General features: G+C 48.0%; 1 protein-coding gene across 38 annotated transcripts in view, besides 2 other annotated features; it reads right to left on the reverse strand.

Annotated features, from left to right (window-relative positions):
• PLEKHA7 (pleckstrin homology domain containing A7) overlaps positions 1-24379 on the reverse strand; it is a 237118-nt gene that overhangs the window by 22050 nt on the left and 190689 nt on the right. For 16 of the 38 annotated variants that reach the window (XM_047426441.1, NM_001329630.2, XM_047426436.1 and 13 more), the window contains 7 exons: positions 17454-17976; positions 16832-16918; positions 13767-13820; positions 3881-3949; positions 3626-3706; positions 2322-2471; positions 1628-1729 (listed from right to left, as the gene is read on the reverse strand). In XM_047426441.1, coding sequence (XP_047282397.1) covers positions 1628-1729; positions 2322-2471; positions 3626-3706; positions 3881-3949; positions 13767-13820; positions 16832-16918; positions 17454-17976 — 1066 coding nt within the window. Of the gene's footprint in view, positions 1-1627; positions 1730-2321; positions 2472-3625; positions 3707-3880; positions 3950-7797; positions 7879-13766; positions 13821-15828; positions 15949-16831; positions 16919-17453; positions 17977-24379 lie in introns of all 38 variants that reach the window. The other 22 variants (XR_007062454.1, XM_024448358.2, XM_024448370.2 and 19 more) reach the window with 3 other exon arrangements.
• Positions 2804-4003: an enhancer, noted in NCBI's record as "BRD4-independent group 4 enhancer chr11:16823697-16824896 (GRCh37/hg19 assembly coordinates)". NCBI's record gives its function as "activates an origin of replication core promoter dependent on BRD2, P300/CBP, MED14 and CDK7 cofactors, and independent of BRD4, by STARR-seq in HCT116 cells {active_cell/tissue: HCT116}" and the evidence as "EXISTENCE:reporter gene assay evidence [ECO:0000049][PMID:35650434]".
• Positions 15712-16212: an enhancer, noted in NCBI's record as "H3K4me1 hESC enhancer chr11:16836605-16837105 (GRCh37/hg19 assembly coordinates)". NCBI's record gives its function as "activates a minimal SCP1, AML or CMV promoter by ChIP-STARR-seq in naive H9 embryonic stem cells {active_cell/tissue: H9 hESC(naive)}" and the evidence as "EXISTENCE:reporter gene assay evidence [ECO:0000049][PMID:30033119]".

The following is a 24379-nucleotide window of genomic DNA, read 5'->3' on the forward strand; positions in this document are numbered from 1 at the left end:
ATGGTCTAGAAGGCAATGCCACCAATAGATAGCACTGATGACACATAGGGAGGGTGATGGGAGGGGCAGAAAGGGAGAGGGGGAAGAGGAACTTTTATATCATTTTTTGTTTTTGCTTCTTACTGTTTTGGTCTTTTCAAAGACACGTATTCATGTACCATTTGTGTAATTACAGGAACAAAGAATGAAAAGCTTAAAAAAATTACTGCTAAAAATAAAGCAAAAAAAAATTACTGCTAAAAAAATTCAGATCACTGAAGTCCAAGAAAATAGGTATAACCTGGGCAGTTTTATAAACTCATAACCAGAAATAATTGAAGGACTTTGTCAACAACATTCACCTAGTATTTTCAAGTCATTACGGTAAATGCTGCGGCTACAAAAAAGAGTAGTGAAATGTTAGCCAGTGTGGATGAAGAGAAATTATGGGAGGAAAACGACCCCAACAGCAGCAGGAGATAGACAAGTGCTGGGGAGAGTCTTGTAGACCAGCCCTGAGCCACAGGCGAGGGTCTCCTCCACGTGGTCCTAGGCAGGGCTCTCTGGGAACCATCTCTGCATGAATAGAGGGACAGCAGGGCCCTTGGAAAAGCCTCAGGGCCCACACACCTACACCCTACTCCAGAATTTCCTTCAACTTTCTGGGGTGAGGCTAATGTCTGGAGAGTCAACATACTCATTAAATCACTTAAACAAAGAGCCTTGGTTAGAACTATCTTATCAGTTAGCAAGCCCAGCACCAAAAGTGGCCCAGCAAGGTGCCTCATACACAAGAAGCCTCAATTAATGCTTGCTGAATTCAAACACACTTATTATGTCAGGGCCCTGAAAGGAGAAGATATAGATCTTAAGTCAGGGGAGAAAAAAACAGGTTATTTTCCACTTAAAAAATTGTGAGGGTGGGGTGGAAACCTGGTTAAGCACCACAGTGGGGGAACACTGGGCAATTTGGAACCCAATTTGGAAGAAGAAAAACCACACAGGGCCTTTCACTGTCTCACTTCTGGGGGACAGAGGCAGCTATCAATAGGGTGGCCTGATTTTTTAAGGGTGAAGTGGCAGGGCTCTAAGGCCAACTTTCCTGAGTGGTATAGGGGTCACAGAGATGGGCATCACCCAGCCTGGCCTCCAGAAATGCAGATGACTGCCTGGAGACCAGAGTGCCTCAAAGGACAGAATTCACACTGTCTCCCTCTGGTAGAGGTGTGATAACATCTATCTCCAGGAATCAGAGGAGGGAAGGGGTGGGCACTTCCTGCTGCTGTCTAAGTGATGAGCTAGCAGCCTAAGATGGGGCCAAGAACTACAGGAACATGGATCACTCTGTGATTACTGATGACACCAAATGATCAGAAGTAAAGCCCTTTCTAAAACACCCAAGAGCTTGTCTTTGAGAGCAGCAAGGCAAGGGGAATGGGGTGAAGCTTCTCATCACAGCCTGGCTTGGGGAAGGGATCCTCAAGGGAGAGCTTGGGGTGGCTCCTTTACAGGGGTGGAGCATCTGGGGCTGAGGGGGAGAAGGACTCTGAGCAGTGCTCACAACCCCCACAGGTGAAGTCTCTTGGAAAAACAAAAAACAAAAAACAAAAAACAAGAGCTCAGAAGAGATGGACAGGTATCAGGTCACCTGGAAAAAAAAGGCTCTTCTGTGTTGCTCCTGCAGGGTCTGCTTCAGCTGTTCCACATCATTCTCCAACTTCAGGTATTCGTTCCAAGCATTTTCCATCTCCTGTTGGCCAAGACAATGCTTCCGGTTCTTAGTTATCCCCTGCCCCCTTGGAAGGCCTCACGAACACCTGTACTCCTGACCATGCTGACCCAGCCAGGGGAAGAGGGAAGGAGACCGGGCAGGCCTGGTGGGAGAGAGAGAGGAGCAGGAAAGAGCGTGGCATCCTCTCATTTGTGCTCTGACCCTGGTCACCTGCACTGTTCACTCTTCCACCCTCAGGATGCTTTGATTCTCAGCCCTGGCCTGTACCACAACAGACTGAAAAGTGAAAAAGCAGATTCTGACAACTTGGAATTAACTGCACACAGATCAGGGGAACAGCCTTGCAGGCAGCTCTGAAGAATCTGGCCCACTGGGTGTCACTGGCCTTCAAGAGTCGCTGTGGTAAGCAGCCTAAGGCACACGTGCAGGCAGACATGTCACCCCCAGACAAGGTTATCTACTGTCAGGTGGCAGTTCTGCTACTGGAGAAGCTCTGCTATTTCAGGACTCTTGCCTCTGGACACCAACTCAACTACATCTTGGGAGGGGAGAAAAGCAGCCCCTTGCTCAGCCCGTCCTGAGGGAGACAGGTCTGCCACCCTCTACGCACAGTGGACTCTCTGGAGAGCTCAGCTCGGATATGGACAAGGTCCTCCTGCAGCAACTTCTGCTGGTAGGCAATCTTCTCCAAGTGCTGGGGCTGGTCTCGGTACTGCTCCATCTGTCTGTGCAACACCTCCAGCACAGATTCTAGCTGGTCCTGCACCACGAAGGGCCAAAAAACAGCAGGATAGGAGGACAGTCCCCAGAGGCCTCCCCATACCACACCAGGAACCAAAGCTACTGGACCTAACCAAGGCCGAAGGGATCAGCGCTGAGATGTGGGCCCACAGTCGGGGCTCTGATGCCAGCTCTGACTCTGTCTAGGGAGTAGGCTGGGGAAAGTACCTAACAGCTCTGTGCCTCAATTTTGTCATCTATAAACTAGGGATACAGCTGTCTAACTCCTTATGGGATAAACTAAGAGAATAAACTAAGCTAAGAGGATAAATCAAAGAATTAAAAAAACAAAAAACAAAAACCTCTTTAGCCTCCTAGGGAAAAGAGTATATTGTCAACCTCCAGCATCACGAATTTAAAATGCAAAAGGAAAAAAATACTTTAAGAATAGAAAAGGCCAAATGTTGGTGGCCCCTGGCCCATTCCGGCACTCCCATCCAGACTTGCTGCCTCCATAGCCCAGATCCTAGGAGACAAGGAGCTTTAGGAAGCAAAGGCCTCTGCCCTGTAATGACTACAGCCACTTCCTCCAAAGGAACCCTGCTTCCCTGGGGTTCAGGGACCTGGGGTCATCACATATAAGCCAGTGGAGCTCCTCTCCCAGGCTCACCTCACAGGGCCTCCACGGAGAGGTAAGCCAAAGCAGAATGGGGGCAGGAGGGTCTCTATAAGATAGAAACCCCTAAGAAACACCATTTAAACACAAAGGCTTTTTTTTTTTTCCTCCTGAGACGAAGTCTTCCTCTGTTGCCTAGGCTGGAATACAGTGGCGTGATCTCGGCTCACTGCAACCTCTGCCTCCCGGGTTCAAGCAATTCTTCTGCCTCAGCCTCCTGAGTAGCTGGGATTACAGGTGCCCACCACCATGCCCAGCTAATTTTTGTATTTTTAGTGGAGACAGGGTTTCACCATGTTGGTCAGGCTGGTCTCGAACTCCTGACCTCATGATCCACCTGCCTTGGCCTTCCAAAGTGCTGAGATTACAGGCATGAGCCACCGCACCTGGTGCATTTTTTTTTAAATAAGCTAACATCTGCTCTTCAATACTAACATGAGGGTCCAGCCTATGTCTCAAGAAAGACAGGACAAAATGTCCCTCTGCCCATTCCAAGATTATTCAAAACTGACACGTACTTTGTTCTCTTTAAGGGCTCGTATCTTGTCTTCCAAGTCCTGGAGGACCCTGTCTTGTTCACAGAAGATGCTCAGTTTGACCTAAAAGCAAGAACAGGTGGAGAGGGCCTGGGGTGATGAGAAAAGGACATGACCTTGGGATTGCAATCAGACAGCCTTTGGCTACAGAACCATCCAAGCCCTGCCTGAAGCTGTTCACCCGGGGTCTGGGTCAGGAGGCAGCTGAGGGGTCAGCGTGTCACTCTGCTCACTCACGTCAGTGTCGCTCTCAGCGATCTTCACAGGCTTCAGACTTCGATCCTTGAGAAGGTCCCGGCCTGTCATCTGGGAGGCGAACAATTTAAAAGAGATTTAACCATGGTGTTTGAGATCAGAACTCAGGAAAGAAAATTCATCCTATAATGGATGGTGTGGAAGTCCTTGGCAGTGGCAGGTAGGGTCATAGTATGAGAGGGACAAAAACTTGGGCCATACTTCGCTATTTCTATGCCTATTTCATTTTAGGAAAAAACCAAAACCTTTTGATGATTCTAGTAATGCTGGTAAGTCCTTTGAGTTAAAGAAAATGTAGATGTTCAAGTTAAAGGATCATCAATTTTAAAAGTATATATTTGCCTAAAATGAATGTGAAAAATCAGCATGAATCTTGGAAGATTTGCCACCGATAAGACAGAGGTGTACTACTGAACGTGGGAACAAACACAAGTTACGAAGCCCATCACCCCCTGCCCAGGGTGGTGAGATGGGCAGACCCAGAGGAACAAACAAATCCCTTGACCATTGTCAAGCCTTAGTTTAATGAAGTCTCTGAGCAGCCCACTTCCCCGTGGGTAAGGCCAGCCTTCCTTACCCTTTACCATTTGGGAAGAAGACCTGGCCAAGGTAAAAAGGAACCTGGCTAGTTCCCAGCAAGGGTTTTTAATTGTTCCCTGAATAACTGAGGCTAGGCTGTACTTGTGTAAGTTACAAGAAAGGAAACCATAAAGCAATATACAAAAGTCACCCAAACTTGCGGGCCAATGGGATTTTACATTTCCCATCCCTCACTTGACTCAAAGTAGGCAATATGCTGCCTGTCTCTCACTGACTCCTGAGAATCTAAATCTTACTTATCCCATTTTTCCATTTCCCCCAATTTCTTTCTTGCCAAAAGTCATGCAGGGGCTGAGGGGAGTGACTTTCACAGATGCACCCTCCCATGGCCAAGATAAGGCCAGGGAGAACCAAGTCTATTTTGCCTAATGTAGGGGAAACCACCTCACTGAGCTCTATTTTGCAGATCTGACCAGGAAAATGGAGGGTGGAGCTAACAGTGGCAGAGACAGGTGGTGTGTGTGTGCTATGCAGAGAGGTCCCAATGTGGACCGATAGCTGCTGGAGAGAGAGGTGTAGATTTCTCCCCATTCTATCTGTAAGGTCCAGGAAGTTTGTCAGTGTGGATTGGGGGTGGAAATAAATTGGCAAACATTCCACTCAGTGCTCAAGCCCTTCATGTGCCCAACTGTCCTATGCTACCTCTCCCTGCAAACTGTCATGAGCAAATCCAAAGGTCAAGGGAGAGGACCTCTCCCTGCCTTGGAGTGAGGACTGATTCTGGGCTACACACATGCCCCACCCATTCCCACGATCCCTTTGGTCACACAGAAGAGGACGGAACCATTGTTTTATCTTGGTAAAGTCAGCCCTGAACAGAAGACCTGGCACAAACTCAGCAAATGCTTATTGAATTGCATTGCATGTAGGTCAAAGGGAAACACATGTAGGTCAGTGTTGTTGAGTTCCCGGAAAAAATAGAACTCCAGCCAAATTCTGCTCTTCAGACTGTCAGATTATGTGTACATACACGTATACACACAGTTGCAGAACACAAGACTGCAACAATCCACAAACAAACAGACTGTGCTGTCTCCTGCAATGCGGGGGGGGCGGTGCAGGGAGGTGTGGGGAGGTGGGCATGAAGTTAATCCTGGTGAATCACAAACAGCTGAACTTCTCAGGCAGAATGTGGGTTTTAAACTCAGGGGAACCCAGGAGAAAAAGCAGGTGAAAGCAGTGAAGTCTTCGCTCTATGCCATCGTCCTTTCATCAAAGCCAAGAACAAGGAGGTTGTCTATTCTCCAAACCGGCTGACCTTTGGGGCTCATTTTCTAGGTAGAAATCATTTTCAAATGGAGATACACTCTGGGGATTCTTTCCCCCAGCAAAACTCTTCCCCTTATTTCACTGAAGCTTTTTACAGAGGATGTCTTTTTGATACTTAAATAACAAGCCAGAAAATCTAATTGAGCAATGCCTCATTTATCCAGCACCATCAGGAAAAGAATGAGATATTTTATATAAAAAGGACATTTTGAGAAGAAGCTGAATCCTCTAAATTATACTTTTTGATGGAAAGCTTTCTAAAAGTATGCCCTTTGCTGCCTTCATGGAATACTGAATATACATTCAACCTTTTTTTTCTCTCTCTCAGGATATTAGTACTACCTCTTTTTCTAAGAAGTAGATTTCTCTTGTCCCTTTTTAAAGTGCTGCTTATCTTGCCAGGCACGGTGGCTCACACCTGTAATCCCAGCACTTTGGGAGGCCAAGGCGGGTGAATTATGAGGTCAGGAGTTCAAGATCAGTCTGGCCAACATGGTGAAACCCCATCTCTACTAAAAATACAAAAATTAGCCAGGCACAGTGCCGCGCACCTGTAGTCCCAGCTACTCGGGAGGTTGAGGCAGGAGAATCTCTTGAACCTGGGAGGCAGAGGTTGCAGTGAGTTGAGATTGCGCCACTGCACTCCAGCCTGGGTGACAGAGCGAGACTCCATGTCAAAAAAAAAAAAAAAAAACAAAAACAAAAACAAAAAAAACTGCTGCTTACTAGGTGTTGTAGGTTAGGAATTCAAAGGACTATAAGCTCGACTGACACGAGGTACTTACATCTCTTCTCTCCCTTTAACTGGGGGTGATGCCCTTCAGGGTGCTCTTTCCACACGTTGCATCTGCTGCTACTACAGCACCCAGCACATTAGAGTACAATGTTCCGTTTGCTCATTTGTCTCTCCTCACTAGAGAGTAACCTAATTAGGGGTGACTGTGGAGATGGATGCCTTTCCTCTGTATCCTCAAAGCCCAGCCAGGGCCTAGCATATTGAAGAAATTCGGGCAATGTTTGCTCAGTGAGTTCATGAATGTATCAAAGTAATGTGAGCTGACTCTGTCTCCTATGGACGAAAGGTCACAGGCTTTAGAGCATGGGCTTGATGAGAGCTGTTTCTACAGCTCAGAGGACCGTTAAGCTTCTGAATGTAGCTCTGCTCCAGACAGCCGAGGCTGCTAAGAAATATTATATCCACGTGTAGCGTATTACATCTAATTTTCCTTTTAAAAGTGTGTTTGTTATAGCCATGTTCAAATACACTTAAAACATCAACTCTGGGTCCCCCCAGCATCTCTGTCATCAGAAAAAGTAAAAGTCTGTGGGTGCTCATCCATTTGAAAGAGTCTCTCCATCAGAGGGGAATCAAAGGCCACCCAGGCATCTTCCCTCCCCTCCACCACATCCCAACCCACTTTCTCAGGGCTCACGATGGTTGGACACAACACCTGCTTCTCGATCTGCATCCTCCCCTGGAATGCTGTGAGAGCTGGCCACATTGCAGTCCCTACTTCTGCATCAATCAAAGAGGGTATGGGCAGGGGGTGGCATTTTATTCTAGTCCAGCTCCAGGCTGTTATCCAAATACCAACTGCCTGCCCCCAAAAAGTGCCACCTTAATCTCAGGGCCACCGTGGCATCTGAGGATACCCTGGCTCTTGGAAGATGACCAATAACTGCTGTTCCCTCCCAAGAAACTCATGCTCAACTCTGTCTGGGTGAGCCCTCGCCATGGAGGCAGACACGTGATGATGGAAACACAACACAAGCTGGTGGCAAGCCAGGCAAGCTCCCCCACCCTTGGCAGCACAAAACATGGAGTCACAGAAAACTGCAGATGAGAGGCTCAGCCTGGTGCATCAGCCAAAATGCTGAAGAGAGCTTCAGTTGAAAGAAAATAAACCAAAATGACTTGCGGGAAGCCTGGGGCGGTCAGGAGAGCAACTGGTTAAGCAAGTGATGAAGTCGGCACCGAGCCAGAAGCAATGGAATGACCCCGCTTGGAGACACGGATCAGATCATCTTACGCTTCTCCTGGGCCGACAGCCCCGTGCTGACTTCTTCAGCACTTTGTAAAGCACGTTGATCAAAGGTTCATTATTTTTAATCTGTTCCAAACAAAAAGGCAGATACAACAAAACGTAACAGGTGAGACATCAAATGACACTTGAAGCAGCCAGAATTTGGGGAACTGGCAAAGGGAAAACTTTAAGGAGGCTGTGTGCTATGCAATTCAAACAACCAGGCCTGAATCTTGGTGATGCTACTTCCATGGGACCGTGGATGCTCCTCCCATGGGCCATGGGACCTTCCCAGACTGCAGCTCTCTCCTTTTTATAAAATGTTATATGCTGTCTGAAGGGACTTTTGCACAGGCTGGTTTTTGTGGGAGTGCAATTTCAGTGTTCATTTCCTTCCTGGTTCTGCGGCAGAAGGCAAGGAGGAACATGATAGAAGGGAACTTGCTTCTTCTTTTGTCCTCCCTCATCACATTCTGTAAGATACTAGTTTAGAGTCGTGCCATGCATTCATCTCACCCCCACTCAACCTTAAGTTCCACCAGAACTGTGGTGCATCTACATGATTATGTCTTACCCATGGTCCCAAATGCTTATAGCTCCTTTTTGGCAACATTGTCCTCATTACCTAGGACAGTGGATCTCAGCCCTTGCTGAACACTGGAATCACTGGGGGAGCTTTAAAAAGTACCGATGCCTGAGTTCCACCCCAAGTGATTCTGATATAATTGGTCTGGGATGGGGCCTGGGCATTGGGATTCTTAAACACTCTCCTGAGTGATTCGAATATGCAGCCAGGATTGAGAAGCACTGCCCTAAAACAGGGGCTCTCAAACTTTAGCATGCATCAGAATCAGCCAGAGGGCAAATACACAGATTTGCTGGGCCCCATCCCTGGAGGTTCTTGTGGTGCAGATCTGGGGTGGGACCCAAGATTTTGCGTTTCTAATGAATTCCCAGATACTGACACTTTCGGTCTGAGGATCACATTTTGAGAGCCGCTACTTCAAAACCATGTTTCTCAATGCTGGATGTGCATTAAAAACACCTAAGGAGTTTGTTTGTTTTAATTAAGTAGTAATACCTGAATATTACCAATTAAATCACAGTCTCTAAGGGGTAGGACCCAGACATTTATATTCATTTTTAAAACTCCCCAACAGTTCTCGTTCATAGCCAGGGTTAATAATTTCTTCTCCAGAACAATAGACCTCAAACCCTAGTGTGCACAAGAATCACCCCAGAGCTTGACAAAAATGCAGAATTCTGGGCAGCAGAGTGTCCAATTCAATAGAACCCTCCAGGTCTGTGCTTTTATCAAGCTCCCAGGTGATTCTGAAGTATGCGGCATCCCCAATTACAACTTTAAAAACTGTCCCAGAAGCTGATTTTGGAAACAGCCTGAACAGAAAAGTCCTGATCTCAGGTTCAAACAGTCAGGAAGAGTCCAGATTCCAGTAACCCCGAAGCCACTGACGGCACATCCCTCACTGAAGACAAAAGCCTTTTTGGGGCTGACTGCAACCTTTTCTATCTACAAAGGCTCCACGAGTGACAGCAGGTACCCTCATCTTCCTGGCTGTGCTTCACCGCAGCATAAAGACAACTTAAAGTGTCAACAACAGTGAACCCCACACCCCACCCTTCTGACTCAGCTAAGGTATAGGGTTCTGAAGAGCAGAACTTCAATGCCAAGAATACAATTCAACGAACACGACTTTAGAGTGGGCAAAGCGTGTGATGCATGGACGAAAGAAGGCAGGTGTGAAGTCAGTTGCTGCGTACATGTCCCAGCAGTGTAACTTTGCAGAAGTTACTTTATTTCTCTGACACCTGGGTTCCTGGTTATAAAAAAGGGATAATAATTCATATTGCTCAAGTTGCTGAGAGGATTCAATGAGATAAATGAACATCAAGTGCCCAAATACTGCCAAGGCAGGAACAGATGCTTAATCAATGTGAGTCCTTTTCACCCTGGCACCATCAAGTAAAATGCCAGCAAAGTAAACATTTCCAAAAAAGCACACTAATGTAAGTGGGTCCCAAGAGCAGAGTGTCCCGTTGTATGATTACTTGGCACCCCAGCAGGAACGCTCACTTCAGGAAGGTAAAGCTTCTCAACGTGGGCCCACAAGCACCCCTGATTCTGGAAGCTGAGCATCAGCTGATTGGGGGGCAGGGGAAGATGGGCTCTGGATCCTTAAGTCCTTGGCCTCTCGAACAGGGACATGGGGGACACCAAGTCAACGTGGCACATGGAGGGGAGAGGTCAGCAGATCAGATGCCAAGCAGGGAGACTCCTCTCCAGAGAGGCTTATATCCTTACCTCACCCCCCTCCAAGGAACCAGGGGGGACCTCTCATAAGCAGCTGGTCCCAGAGGGGCTGTGCTTATCTCCATTTCCATGCCCAGAATGGTCTACAGGCCTATTCAACCATGTCCAGAGAGACCCCTGACTCAGGGACATTTTGTCCAGCATGTCATAGAATCTAAGGACCAATAAGCCTTGGGGTTTTCCTAATCCAACCATTCATCCCACTCAGTTTCATTGAGCCTCAGTTGTACCCTAGTGACGGGAAGTCCACCACCACCTGAGGTGGCCCTTTTAGAAAAGTCTTTCTTCTACTAAGCTGCAACCTATCTACTTGTAGCTGCCATCCACGTGTCTTAATTCCTCCTTAGGGCCACAGAAAACACATGGAGACATACCAGAGTTTTACAGGCTGTCTCTATGCCTCTCCTGAATCGCCCCTAACTCCTTCAATCATTCCGCACTGTAGCTGTACCAGCTGCTGTTGTGCTTCCTTTCTCCACCCAGTGTGTCCCATTAGGGAACTCCTCACTGCATGGAATACTGAGTAGGGAAGAAGTGAATCTGGGCTTGCAGGCAGCCACCTTCCCTGCCCGTGTGGAGGCAGCCCTTGTTCCACAGGAAAGAAGAAGTCTGACACACACGGAAAGTAGAAGAGTGACAATGTGGCTGAGCCCCGGGAATGGGGCCCCTGGCTACACGAATTAGTATATTCCCTTTTCGACTTAGCATGTTGCTTTGGGTTTTAGATACTTACAAACAAAAGCATCCCACCTAACACACCCAGTGGTTCTGCAAGCCGTCAATACCTCTCCCCTGATTCCAGCCCTTCCTTCATCTGGATCTTGAAGTGGGACTCTCATCTTGGAACCCTAAACCCAAGCTGAGTCTGAGCAGGGCAGAGCAGGCCTACTGCCTCCTGATCTGGGCCTGCCCCTCTGAGGGAAGCCGGGGGGTGCCAGCCTTTCTGGCAGCCATGTCAGACTGATGACACACACTTGGCACAAAACCCAGCTTGTTTCTCGCATGTGGCTGCTGGTGAGCCAAGCCTCTTCCAGGCTGCTGGTGCAGTTCAGCTGGTTCCTGGAGAGGAACTTAGCAACCGGGGTAGCAGCTATAAGACCAGGGGAATACTGGTATCAACACAGTTGTTTTCCATGACAAACAATGACAACTTCCAGAAAGTCCAATAACTAGATAACGTTCTAATCATGTGCAGCTCTTAGGTAGTAAAACACACCAAGGATGTAACTTGCCTCTCTCTATCCCATCAAATATATTTCTTGGCATAACAATCCAAGCTCAGCTCCACAAAAACATAAGGCCTTTGGGTACACAGTGGTAGAGCACCATTTTAAGAGAGGATGTGGGGCAAGGTGATGAAGGGCTTTAGGGTGAGAGCCGCACCCAAATACTGACACCCGCTAGCTGCTGTGTAGGCTTGGGAAACTCATTAGCCTTTCGGAGTCACGGTCCATTAAAAGATGATACCACCACTTCCCTTACAGGGCCACTTTGGAGGTAAAATAACTTAATAGAAGTAAAATGCAGTGACTGGCACACATTATAACCCCCTATTGTTATTAAGCTTCTGTTGGAGTCGACACTCAGGGACTCTTAGTTCTGCTGTGCCATTCTGTGGCTCAGTTTCTCCCTCTTTAATCCCGCATAGCTCAAATTCTATGATCTTGAAATAAAACAAACCTGAGGCCAAGCATCACTCCAGGACCAACTGTGAGTTTCCACTGTCACATACAAACAGGAACCAGAAGGCAGCTATTTCTCACTGCTCTTGCTCAGGTGCATTTAGTTCCCTCTGGCCCCGTGCACTAAACACTCTGGTATACCTGTGTTTTATACTCACCTGTGCTGCTGGCATGCCAGGCCTCTCCCATAGGCCCAGGTGCACTATGGATGCTCTACAGGTATGTCTGAGTGGACTGTTGGGCCCTGGGTCAGGGGTGACAAGAACTATGCAGGCAGCTGCTGACTGGCTGTCAGGGAGGCTGAGGAACGGGGATATGGTGCTGCGCAGGGCAGGTGGAGGCTGGGGGCTGCTGGATCTCTCTCCATAGGCATGGTGGGAACAACCCTGTCTGTCCCCACAGGCTGCAGGAGGATGGGCTGGGCTGCCACATTTGGTCCATACAGCTATGCTTGAGCATTTTGAATCCTGAGGAATTACCACCATACTTAGAGCAGTCACTCAAGCTCTGTGTGACCTGACTGTCAAGTGAGTTAGACAGTCCTGGCCTTGAGAGAAAGCTCCTTGTTCTCCTCACATGCTAAAGCCAGGTCTTTTTGCTCATAGCATCCACCTTCCTTCCTAAAGCCTAGGATAGAGTCAACAGCCTGCATGACCTAGTGCCACCTCCCCTCTGCTGCCCTGGCCACAACCACTGTGCCCTGGCTCTCCTTGGCTCTCACTGATCCTTCCCTTTAAATCTCAACCAGCCCCAGCACCCCTGGCTCTTCAAAGCTTCAAACACATGCCACCTCCTCCCAGAAGCCTCTCCAGTGTTGTAACCCACAGAGATTCTCACCATCTCAGCTCTGAGAACCAGGCCAAACAGATCTTTGTCTAGTCATTGTAGAGGAGTCTGTTATTTGGGGATAATTTCTTTCACCAACCCAAGACTATCTGGAAGTATCTCAAGACCAGACAGACTCAAATTTTTTTCTGCATCTCCCCATGTCATCTGGGTAACACAGCAAGTGTTCAACAGACACAGAATTGCACTGGTTGATTTCTAATCAAAAGCCCTGATCTCCTTTCATTGTGGGGAGACCCCCTTTCCATCTTCTTCCTTAGGACCTGATGTTCATACACCTGCTTCTATGAGGCTGGATGAAGATCCCCAAGTTAAAAATATCCCAAGCCAGGTACACTGGAGACTGTAGGGAGGCACGCCACCCCTCGTGGCAGTCACCTGAGTGTCCCATGGCCCCTCACCCACCTTTTCAGACCCACAGCTGACTAAAGGTCACATTCCTCCAGTCTATTTCATGGCTCAGGCGTAAGAAGTGCTTTTCACAGTAGGAGCTTTCAGAGGACTGTGGGCAGGGAACAATAGGCCTCTCTTCCAGGCAGAATGCCTCCTGCCTTCTCTACAGGAGCTTTCTTGGCTCTCTCTGTGCTGAGAAAGCTAATTTAGAGCCTGAAGCCTTATCACCTACAGGGAGGGGCCCAGCCTTCACCTCCTAAACCGAGATGGGAGACTACCGGTGAGCCTCAAAGCCATGCGATTCCATGTGGAGCCTGCTCCCCTAGCAACAGAACCAAAGAACCCACCACACCACTTGTGGCTGAAAACCCACATTAGTGAACCAAACATACACCCCTGCCCCCACTGGAGACTCCGAAGAAGCGACTGGTTGCTTTTGGAGGGACCTTTTTGTTCTGACCAAGAGAAGGAAGAGATCAAGGTCTCAAGCCCTCATTCTGTAAGCCAGGGACCTCACAACAAAATTCACAAGAAACTGAAAAAAGGCAGAGTTTTAGTCTGTAAGAAATAAAGTTCTTCTGATTCAAGATGGGAGACATATTGATTTAGAATTCAGATTGGATAAGACCTGTCTGGCCTTTGGCTTTGGGCTTGGCTCCAGTGAGGTGACACTCTCAGAAAGGTGAGTATGCAAGGAAGGCAGGAACCCTGATGTCACTTACCTTTAGATCCAGGTACTCCAGGTCTTTCTTCAGCTGGAGGTAGGTATCATCAGCCTTCAAATGAAGCAGAGAGGAAAAAACACAGTTATGAACACCAAGAGTTTCCATAACTCGAGGTTTCACATGTGAATTATTTACATCGTGCAGCTTTGGGAACAAGGAACCACAGCAGACCAACACATCAGGGGCCACAGAGGAAGCACAAATGTCTCGGTGCAGCTGAGAGCCGTCTTTCAGCAGGGCGGATCTTGCAGGTCACTGTGGGGAAAGTCAGCTTGTCCCCCACTGGCTAGGGGAAGAGTTTGGCAGGGAGGATCCTACCCCAGGGCTAGGGTAGCTGAGGCAGTGCTGTGCTCCCAAGATAGACCTGGGAGGTCCACCTGGAGGAGCATATGCCACACCTGAGCTAGAGCGCATCAGTCATCATCACTCCAATTCCATCCATCAAACCTTTGGTCTGGATCACTTCACATGCATGAAGATGAAGCTCACTGGTGTGGGTGGATGCCTTGAAGAGGCAGGGAGATGGCCTGGGTGACCCAGGAGGTCCCAATACGACCTTGGTTTCCAGAATGATAACCACCAGCAACTGCTGGAAATTTCCTGCAAGTTTGGTTCTTTTTGCTCACCATGGAGCCAATGTAGCCATGTCAGGAGCTACCTGAGGCAGGTGCAAGGTCAGACCTATCTGCTTGTGGCATCTCTGACAATCTATCAAGTTCTTCAGTATAATTACCAGAAACAGTGAAAATAAGAAAAAGACTCTTTGATTTCCCAAAACTCATGCTTTCCCGTGTAGCAGATCACAGAAGCTAACTGTGAGGCAGAGGAGCTGTGAAAGCTGTGAAAGAAAAATAATCCAGGCACCATCTTCTCAGCAGACTAAGAGGGTCACAGCCAAGCAAGCTAGGGCCGAGGCAGGTGGCCTTTGCTTACAGCTCTGAGGTAAGACAGTCACACAGACAAACCACACGAAGAGTTGAGGCAGGGCTCTTATGCATGGGAATGCCTGAAGGACAACTGTCAGGGGCACTAGTGGCTTGCAAGGTCTTGTGTCCCTAAACTAACTTCTTACCCATCTATACTTCCCAAACAGCTCAGTCCCTACACACTTGCCATAGGAGTAAGACAGAACAGAAGAAGGTTATTCAAGATCACTTAGATTCACAACTGATGATAGTTTTTCACTGACATTCATTTTTCTGAATACATTTCCTAAATCTCTCAAAACTCACTAAAACAGAACAAGGAAGGAAGGTAACAGTCCTGTCACCTTCCTCATCTGTCCCCTGCCTACCTCTGTACAGCCTGGAGGACCAGCCTCGTTGGCTGAACCTATTTTTGCCTGAGGACAACCCCAGGGAGGGATCCTTTTCTTTAATCCTTCTGCTCAAGATACCCGGGAGGGCAGCCCCCTAGCCAGTCCTTGAGAAGCTTGCCTGCAAAGCCCAACGTTCTTGCAACAGTTTAGAACATTGTGTCATGCAGGCCTTGGATTTTGGCTGCAGCCTGCATGCTTCTAGCTGAGGGATCCTGAGCAAGTCACTTCCCCTTCTGGTTCCACTTGCCTTGTGTGTGATCCTTACTCCTCTCCTACCTAACCTCTTCCAGCTTACTGTGAGGTTCAGCAAGATATGAGATGAGAAGACACTCTGTGAGGCAGCAGGGCACCATCCAGATAAGAGAGGGCGCCCTGCATCTCCCTCCAGGCTGACGCATATGTGCCTTTCCACATCCCAAGCAGTGGCCACGGGGGCAACAAGGCTGTCAGCCAGCACAGCCCTTTGAACATGACCATACACCAGCCTGGCAGTCACTACTTACAGCCAGAGAAGCGACAGTTTAGGGCCCCTACACCACATGCAGCCCCCCTCCCCAGTGCCAGAAGGGTAGGCTCAGCTTCCACCACCACAGAGTGTCTGGCAGTAGCATCCAGAAGCAAACAGGCAGCGAACACGCGAGAGCCAGAAAGCACAGACAGACCAGAGCATGGGCACGAGCGAACGCGAGCCAGCATGTCACTCCCTGCCCCCGGCCCTGAGAGGAGCCCACCAGTGCTGACCTGGCAGGTGGGAAAGGTCAGCTGGTGCTGCAGTAACTGGCTGATGGCGAAATTTCGCACACTGGCCAACTTGGCCTGGTGCCGCCTTAACCGGGTGAGAAGCAACGAGAGCTCCTCCAGCTGCAGATGTGTAGACACAGCACAAGGAAGTTAGCACCGCAGGAGCACACTGCTAGAATTACGCTCTTCACCCCGGTGTCAGTGCCAGGACAGCACTGATGTGACACCGTTAAGCAATTACTGTGTCAATTCTGTCATTAGGACAAATAAAGGCACTGGCAGTAAAAGGGCTTCAGGAAGTTTTTTTCAGGAAAGCAACAACCAACAGTGCAACCTCACCCAGACTCAAGCTTTTTTTTTCTTCTGCTTTGAGACAGTCTTGCTTTGTCACCCAGGCTGGAGTGCAGCAGCGTGATCTCGGCTCACTGCAAACTCCACCTCCTGAGTTCTCGTATCTCAGCCTTCCGAATAGCTGGGATCACAGGAGTGTACCACCACACCCAGATAGTTTTTGTATTTTTAGTAGAGACGGGGTTTCGCCATGTTTGCTAGGCTGGTCTTGAACTCCTGGCCTCAAATGATCCACCCACCTCGGCCTCCCAAAGTGGTAGGATTACAAGTATGAACAACCACACCTGGTCTCAGACTCGAGCTTTGAAGATTGAGTTAACTAGTTAACTAATCAAAGATCAGGGAAGAAAGGAGAGGCACTGCCTGTGGAAAAAGGTGGGTAGCTGAAAAATGTTTCTGGCAAAATTCATCTTGAAAGAGGAGATAAGCCTAATATTCCCCTACATTTCCCTGATACGCTCTTCCCCTTCACTGGGGACCCAGTGACAGCCAGGTGACCCTAAGCAAGTCATTCAACTTCTCTGAGCCTCAGTTTCCTCATCTCTAATATGGGGGTTAATAGCTGCCCTCTGGACTGCATTGTACTAACTCAGAGGAAGGAAAATGTTGATGAGATAGGGCTTTGCAGGCTATGTCTTGTCATTCACCCTACCGATTTTCCATGTAAACTGGGAGCGCTGACGGTGTGGGTCATGTAACCCATGGAGGGCATGGAGCGTCGGTCCACATGAGATGAGTTCTGCAAGTGGGGAGACAAGAAGTCACACTGGAGCCCAAACCTCTGCCACTCACTCCCAGGGAAGCCGCCCCATGCCATGTCCCCTCTGAGCCCCAGACTTCTCATCTATGAAATGAGCACACACATCTTACTCTCAGGGTTAGAACACTAAACTGTGAAAGCCTCTTGGAAAGTGAAAACTTAAGCTGGATTGTTATAATTTAACTGACTGGACACAGATGTCTTTTCCTGCCTTTCAAGATGCAAGGAAGCTGACTTGTAGTTGTGTGACCCTGTGCAAGTTACTTTGTCTCTCAGCGCCTCAGAGTTCTCATCTTTGAAATGGGCATAAACATAGCACCTACCTCACAGGGTTGTGGTGAGAATTTAAAGCGAAGCCCTTGGGAACTGTGCCTGGCATCTATTATTAAAATGTACTGCCTAAGTATTAGCTATCATTATTATCCCAAATTACTCAAATTTGTGTTCAAACCAGGCAAAGCTCCTGGCGCCCTCATGATGACCCAGCAGCCTGGCAGAGCTTCCCGAGCCTCACCTTGACAGCGTGGCCCCGTGCCCTCCTTGGAGAATCCCCCAGCGAGATGTCCACACTCCTCCTCTGGTCCGGTGGCTTCACTGTGACTCGCTCTGCTGGTGTGTGTGGCCGCCGGGGTGGGAAGACCCTTGGGGGTCCTGGGGGAGGGATGTCCGAGGGAGATGGAGGCACAGAGATGGAGCGGGGCACCTCTAGCATGCTCCTGCTCCGGCCCTGGTCGGTGAACTCTGGGGAGCCAAGGCAGATGGGCGCTGTGGGGCTGCCGTGCCGGAACTGCTGGCGCTGCTGCCACTCGTAGAGCTGCCACACGGTGCCATCCCGGTGCGCCCGGCGCTCTTCACTCGACATCTTCAGGTGGCTGGCTCGGTCCTGCGCATACTTGTAGTCACTTGGCAGGTTTCGGGGAGGTGGCGAGGAGCCCCCCGAGGGGTGTCGGGTGCTCTTGGGAAGAGTCTGGTAGTTTTCTGGGAAGGACAGGGATTGGCCAGGACCCTGGCGAGGAAGCGTCTGGTCCAAGGGAAGACTGAGGAGAAAGGGTAAGAACGGGTCAGGCAACCAAGCGAGGGTTCTGCAGGCTTTGGGGAACATATCTAAGTAAACCCACAAAGCTGGGCATGTGGGACAGTCCTGTAAGAACCTCAAAAGAATGATCAAGGCCGACATCCAGGACTTCAGTCACTTCCCCTTTTGGCAGACGACTCCAAAACCATTTTTCTCTGTCAACTTCCTCTGCCAGGACAACTTGGCTACCCCATGCCCATCACTTGGAGTGCAATGTGATTAAACCTGGCTTTTCCTTCTCTCTCCGCTGCCAGCAGTCAGCTCTTTCAATGGCTATGCATATTTATAGGAAAGGCCTCACAATTCTCCAAGTTACCAAGATTTTCTCTCTGCCTGGTATCCTTAGCACCAAGTTCCAGAGGTTCATAAAGGAAGTGGTTGGCATCAGTTCTCTTTTTTCTGGACTCTTCTAGTCCAGATACTGATTAATTATCTCCCTCCAGACAACTCTGAGATGCTCCTAATGGGTTTCCACTTTGTCCACAGTCAAGTGCTCTGATCATATCAGTTCCTTGCTGCAAAAACTTCCATGGCTCCTTGTCCCTTCTGAAATAAAGTCTAAACTCCTCAGCCTGGTACTCACAGCTCGCTAGCAGCTGACCTCAACACCCACCTTGCAGGCCTGCTGTTTTCTCACTGCTCTTCCTACGGGCCACGCCAAATGCCTAGGGCCCAAAACTGAAGGAAGTACTCCATCTCAGGGTCACCCCTACACCTGCTGGTGCCTGACAGCCTCACCCTAGTCCCGTCCCAGCCTCCTCCACACCTTAGCAACATCTTGCAACGGAAAAAGGAAAAAGGAGTCTAACCTGGGTTTGAAGCCAAGCTTGACACTTGCTGGCTTTGTGACCCTAGGCAGCTCACCTGACTGCTCTGACCTTCCGTTTCCTTACTTGTAACAGGAGGATAGTATTACCTGCCTCATAAGGCTCTTCTGAGGAATCAATGAGACAGGTTAGGAAATGCAACCCCCACATCTGATACACAGAAGGTCCTTCACTAACGTGTGTACCCTTCCTGCCCTTCTTACTCTTATAACACTGTTCTTCCCTCCCCCTGCCTGGATGGTCTCCCCTTGCTCTATTTACCCAAGTCTTACTCATTCTCTAGGATGCTGGCTCATGCCTTCCCCCACGTGGACCTTCTGTAGTGCCACAGCCCTCAGTGATCCAACTCTGTTTGACCTCGTCATCACACTGCCTGTAACTTTTCCAAGGTCCTATATTGATGTGATCTTTTCATACTTCCAAGACATGTTTTCCCAGGCCAAGGTGAAAAATTCTTGAAAGACAGGAACTGTGTTTCACACCGTGGTATTGTCCACAGTCTAAGAAAGTCCTGTGCGTAATTAGCCCTTCAATAAACACTCCAGCACACAAAACTGGATATGACTTCAAAAACTAACACCAACTAGCCATCTTATTTTCTTTCTTTTTTTTTTCTCTCTTTTTTTTCTTTTTTGAGACAGAGTCTTGCTCTTTTGCCCAGGCTGGAGTGCAGTGGTGCAATCTCTGCTCACTGCAACCTTCGCCTCCTGGGTTCAAGTGATTCTCCTGCCTCAGCCTCCTGAGTAGCTGGGACTACAGGCGTGTGCCACCACACCCGGCTAATTTTTTGTATTTTTAGTAGAGACAGGGTTTCACTGTGTTAGCCAGGATGGTCTCGATCTCCTGACCTTGTGATCTGACCGCCTCGGCCTCCCAAAGTGTTGGGATTACAGGAGTGAGCCACCATGCCTGGCCGCCATCTTATTTTCTTCTGGAGTCTCGCTGTTTTGCCCAGGCTGGAGTGCAGCGGTGCAATCTTGGCTCACTGCAACCTCCGCCTCCCGAGTTCAAGGGATTCTCCTGCCTCAGCCTCCTGAGTAGCTGGGACTATAGGTGTGCACCACCACGCCTGGCTAATTTTTGTATTTTTAGTAGAGACGGGGTTTCACCATGTTGGCCAGGCTGGTCTTGAACTCCTGGCCTCAAGTGATCTGCCCCCCTCAGCCTACCAAAGTGCTGGGATTACAGGCATGAGCCACCGCACCCAGCCTCCAACTTATTTTCTGAGAAGGAAAAAAAATTAAGCAAGGGACAAAGTATGGAATTTTACTAAGCCTGAGAGGCAGCATGATGTTGTAAAAAGAGAACAAGTTTTAGAGTCAGACAGGCTTGAGGTCAATTCTGACTCTGCCTTCACCTATCAATTTTATCTAACATTTATTTGGTGCTGATATTGTGCCAGACATTGTTCCAAGCCAACACTACTCAAAGTGTGGCCTGTGTGCCACCAGCATCAGCACCACCTGGGGACTTGTTAGAAATGCACATTAATGAAATAAGCCAGGCATGGAAAGACAAATACCGTGTATGACCTCACTTATATGTGGGATCTAAAAAGGTCAAACTCATAGAAGAACAGAGTAGAGAGGTAGTTACCAGAGGTTTTGGGAGGGAGAGGAGAGATGGAAGAAGAGCTGTTGGTCAAAGGATGCAAAGTTTCAGTTAGGAGGAATAAGTTCTGGTGACCTACTGCACAGCATGGTGACAATGGTTAATAATAATGTATATTTCAAAATTACTAAAAGTAGATATTAAATGTTCTTACCACCAAAAAGGATAAGCAGGTAAGGTGATGAATGTCAATTGGTTTGATGTAATCATTTCATAATGTATACATATATTAAAACATCACATCTACCCCATACATATAATTATTGTCAATTAAAAATAAGATATATTTTTAAAATGCTGGTTATCAGCCCCACCTCAGACCTACCTAATCAGAAACTCTGGGGATGGTGCCCAGGCATCAGTGTCTTAACAAGCCCTCCAGGAGATTCTAGTGCTCTGTAAGGTTTGAGAAACTGTTCTAATTGTTTTAAAACTCAACTCATTTAATCACTTTAGCTATATGACCTCAGGCAAGTATCATCCAGGCCCTCTAAGTCTCACCTTCCTTATTACAAAATGGGGATAGTAAGAACCACTTAGAAAATTGCTGTGAGGATTTGAAATAGTTGTCATTCAAATAAAGCTATCTTTGCCATTACAGTAGATAATTTTAAGATCTCTTCAACCTACTTGTCGTGCCTGCCAAGTGAGTCGGCCTGCCACTAGGTGGCAGGGTTTGCTATCGATCTCCCAAAGTTAGACACAAATGTGCCTCTGAGACGGGGCAGTGCCTGAATCCTCAAAACAGAGGTGGTAGCGGTGGCAGAAACCAGGCTGGAGGCTTCCCCTGGGGAGTTCAGGACTTGACTAACCATTGTTCATTCTGCCAGAAGCAAAATGCAAACTATGCAAAGCATTTCAGAGCTGTGCTCCCACCCATACGCCCTTCCTGCCTGGCTCTGCAGCTCACTCCCCTTGCCTGCCTACAGTGCCTGGAAGGTCAGAGTCCACCCTCACCTCCCCACTGCCCCACTAGCTGCACCTCAAATCCCTAAGCTCATCCTCTAACCTGTACCCTCCATTTACACATAGTCTGCCATTCTGGAATGACCCCAAGGTACCAGTGCAATGGTGAGCCCTGGCTCTAGGGGTCAAAACAAGGTAACTATGGAGGAGGGACACAGGAGGAGGTGGTACTGTGGTTGAGGTATAGACCCCATGCGAGCAAGTGGGTGCTTCCAGAGCAGCTTTGCCCCTAACAGCAGATCCATTTGCTGGCCCCCTAACCTCCGGTCTTACCCAAAAACTGGGCTCAAGGTCTCCTTATACCATGCTCTGTGGCCACAGGGACTCCCTGTCACTGAACAGGCACTAAACAGGATATTCTGATACAGCCATTACAGAAATGGTCATGTGGAGATGCAATATCATTTTTTGCAACAAATTATTATACTTTACTCAGCAGATGTTCCTCACCCTAACTTCCAGATCAATCACACAGGACTTCCATTTTCTACTCTGTTCCTTATTGTAGTGTTTGAGTCTCCTGATCCTAACTCTATCCCTCACCCCAACATTTCTATTTTACAAGTATGCATTACTTTAAACACTGGGAGGTCAGGGTGGGAAAATGAAAGCCTAAAATTTCAAAACAAGCTCTTAAAATACAGTGAGATTCTAAGAGTGTGTCAGTCTGTCTCCCACAAACCATATCCTAAAAAAGTTTAATGTGAAATTTGTATCTCCAATTAGAAATACTTCCCTGTTGGTTTAAAGCCAAAAATACAGGATCATATTGCAGTTCAAATAACCTTCCTCCCAATGTCTTAATGTGCTCAGTCTAATGAGATTAGCAGTCTTGATGATATGCAAAGCAGAGATATCTATCTCATATATTTTCAAATGGAAAATGGAGGAGTTCCTTTATTCAGCACCTAGATCTATTTATGACTAACTGTAAGAGACTACAAATATATCTTTAAGAAAAAAAAAATCTGGGACTATAAGAGGCAGACCTTTTAAAATACAAGAGGATAATCAGAGACTGAGACACTTTGCTCACTTAAAGATTGACAGCATTTTCTGTTCTGTCTTCTGCCTTCAATTCTTCACTTTTATTCACTTTCTAGCCCATTGAGATCTGCTTGCCCTACTGGAATGAAATTCCTCTCACTGTGTGCTCAGTGACCTCTAAAGCCAATGAGCTGTTCTCCTCTACAGACCTGATGTCTCCCTTCCCCTTAGATAAGAATGGCTCAAATCCCCATCTTGCATCCCAGGGAAAGTCCTATGCCCTCCCCACCCACCTCTCATTTCCCTGTTAACTTCTCATCCTTTAGGTCTCTGGTGCACACCCCACTCCCAACTCTCAAATTCAGGCCGTTGTGTGTAGCAGAATAACATGGTTTACAGGCTGCTGGAGCAGTTATGCGGAGACATTTCATAACTGACAACTTATCACTGCATATCAGTCACCCAGCTTTTGAAAGTTTTTTCTGTGCCCCTGCCACAAAGAGTTTCTCACTGGCCATGCCGTCTTACTGATTTCAACCCCTCCTTTTACTCTGCGTCCTGAGCTAACTTTGACCCTGTAGCTCTGTTAAGCATGGTAATTCAGGTTTGCCCATCTAAGCCCATCAAGCAGCTCAGTGGAAAAAGGGTTTCTGTTACTGAGCAAAAGACCCGTGAGGTTCTGGACTTTCCTTCAGGGGTGCCCAGCCTCCTTGAAAGGTACCACATCTCAAGTGTCTGCTTTTGGTAGGGGAAAAAAAAAAAAAAAAAAAAAAAAGGAAAGAAGGCACCACGCCCAGGTGGAAGTCCTTACCTGCAGCACCGTGCACTGCTGACTGGACTCCTTCCAGTTGAAACTCTCCCCAACAAAACCTCCAGTTTTCCTCCCCCATCTTCTCTTCATCTCCTTCAGGTGACTTAGCTTTTGCCTGACCCTTAGGCTAGGGGTCCTCAGTGTTCTGTTGTTGGCCCTCTGCAACTGTGCTCTCTCAGTTGAGGATTCTTAGTCCTGGCTGCACATTAGATCACTGGGGGAAGAGGGATAGGGGAAAATGTGCTTCCTAAAACCCTTATGTCCAGGCTGCAACCCAGACCAATGGAGTCAGATTTCTGCGCAGGGGACCAAGGCCTCACCAAATGTTAAAACTCTCCAGGTGATTCCAATGTGCAGCCTAGCAACAGTTTCTTGACTGTGGACATGCACTGGAATCACCTAGGGAGTTGTATGTATGTATTATTTATTTATTTATTTATTTATTTTTTGGAGACAGGTTTTTGCTCTATCATCCAGGCTGGAGTGCAGTGGTACAATCATAACTCATTGCAGCCTTGAACTCATGGGCTCAAGTGATTATCCCGCCTTAGCCTCCCAAGTAGCTGGGACCACAGGTGCATGCCACCACATCCAGATAATTTAAAAAACAAAAAAATTTTTTTGGTAGAGATGGTGTCTTGCTATGTTGCCCAGGTTGGTTTCAAACTTCTGGACTCAAGCGATCCTACCACCTCGGCCTCCCAAAGTGCTGGGATTATAGGTATCAACCCCCATACCTGGTCAACCTAAGGAGCTTTTAAAACATACTGATACCTTGACCTCACCCCAGATCAACTACATCAAAATCTCTGGCGTTGGGCCTCAAATGATCAAATCATGCAGACAGGATTAAGGAACATGGCTGTAAGCATTCCACCCTGGGTAATCTCAACTACTGCCAGGGTATTAGTTACCATCTCTAAGGCAATGACTCTAGAATTCCTCTACAGACTGTACCCACATTCCCTATAGCCTCCTGATCATCTCTACCTGGATATTCCCAAAGTACCACTTTCCTCGCCAAGCTCATGTCTCTTACCTATGCTTGTATCTGCTGCACAGCACCATATCTACCTATTAACCAAGCCAAATCTGAATGCTAACTCCAACTCCACCCATGTCCAGAACTCCAACTCCCTACTTACATGTCCAAAATGGAAATC

Source organism: Homo sapiens, chromosome 11 (genome assembly GCF_000001405.40).
Source record: "Homo sapiens chromosome 11, GRCh38.p14 Primary Assembly".
Taxonomy (NCBI): Eukaryota; Metazoa; Chordata; class Mammalia; order Primates; family Hominidae; genus Homo; species Homo sapiens.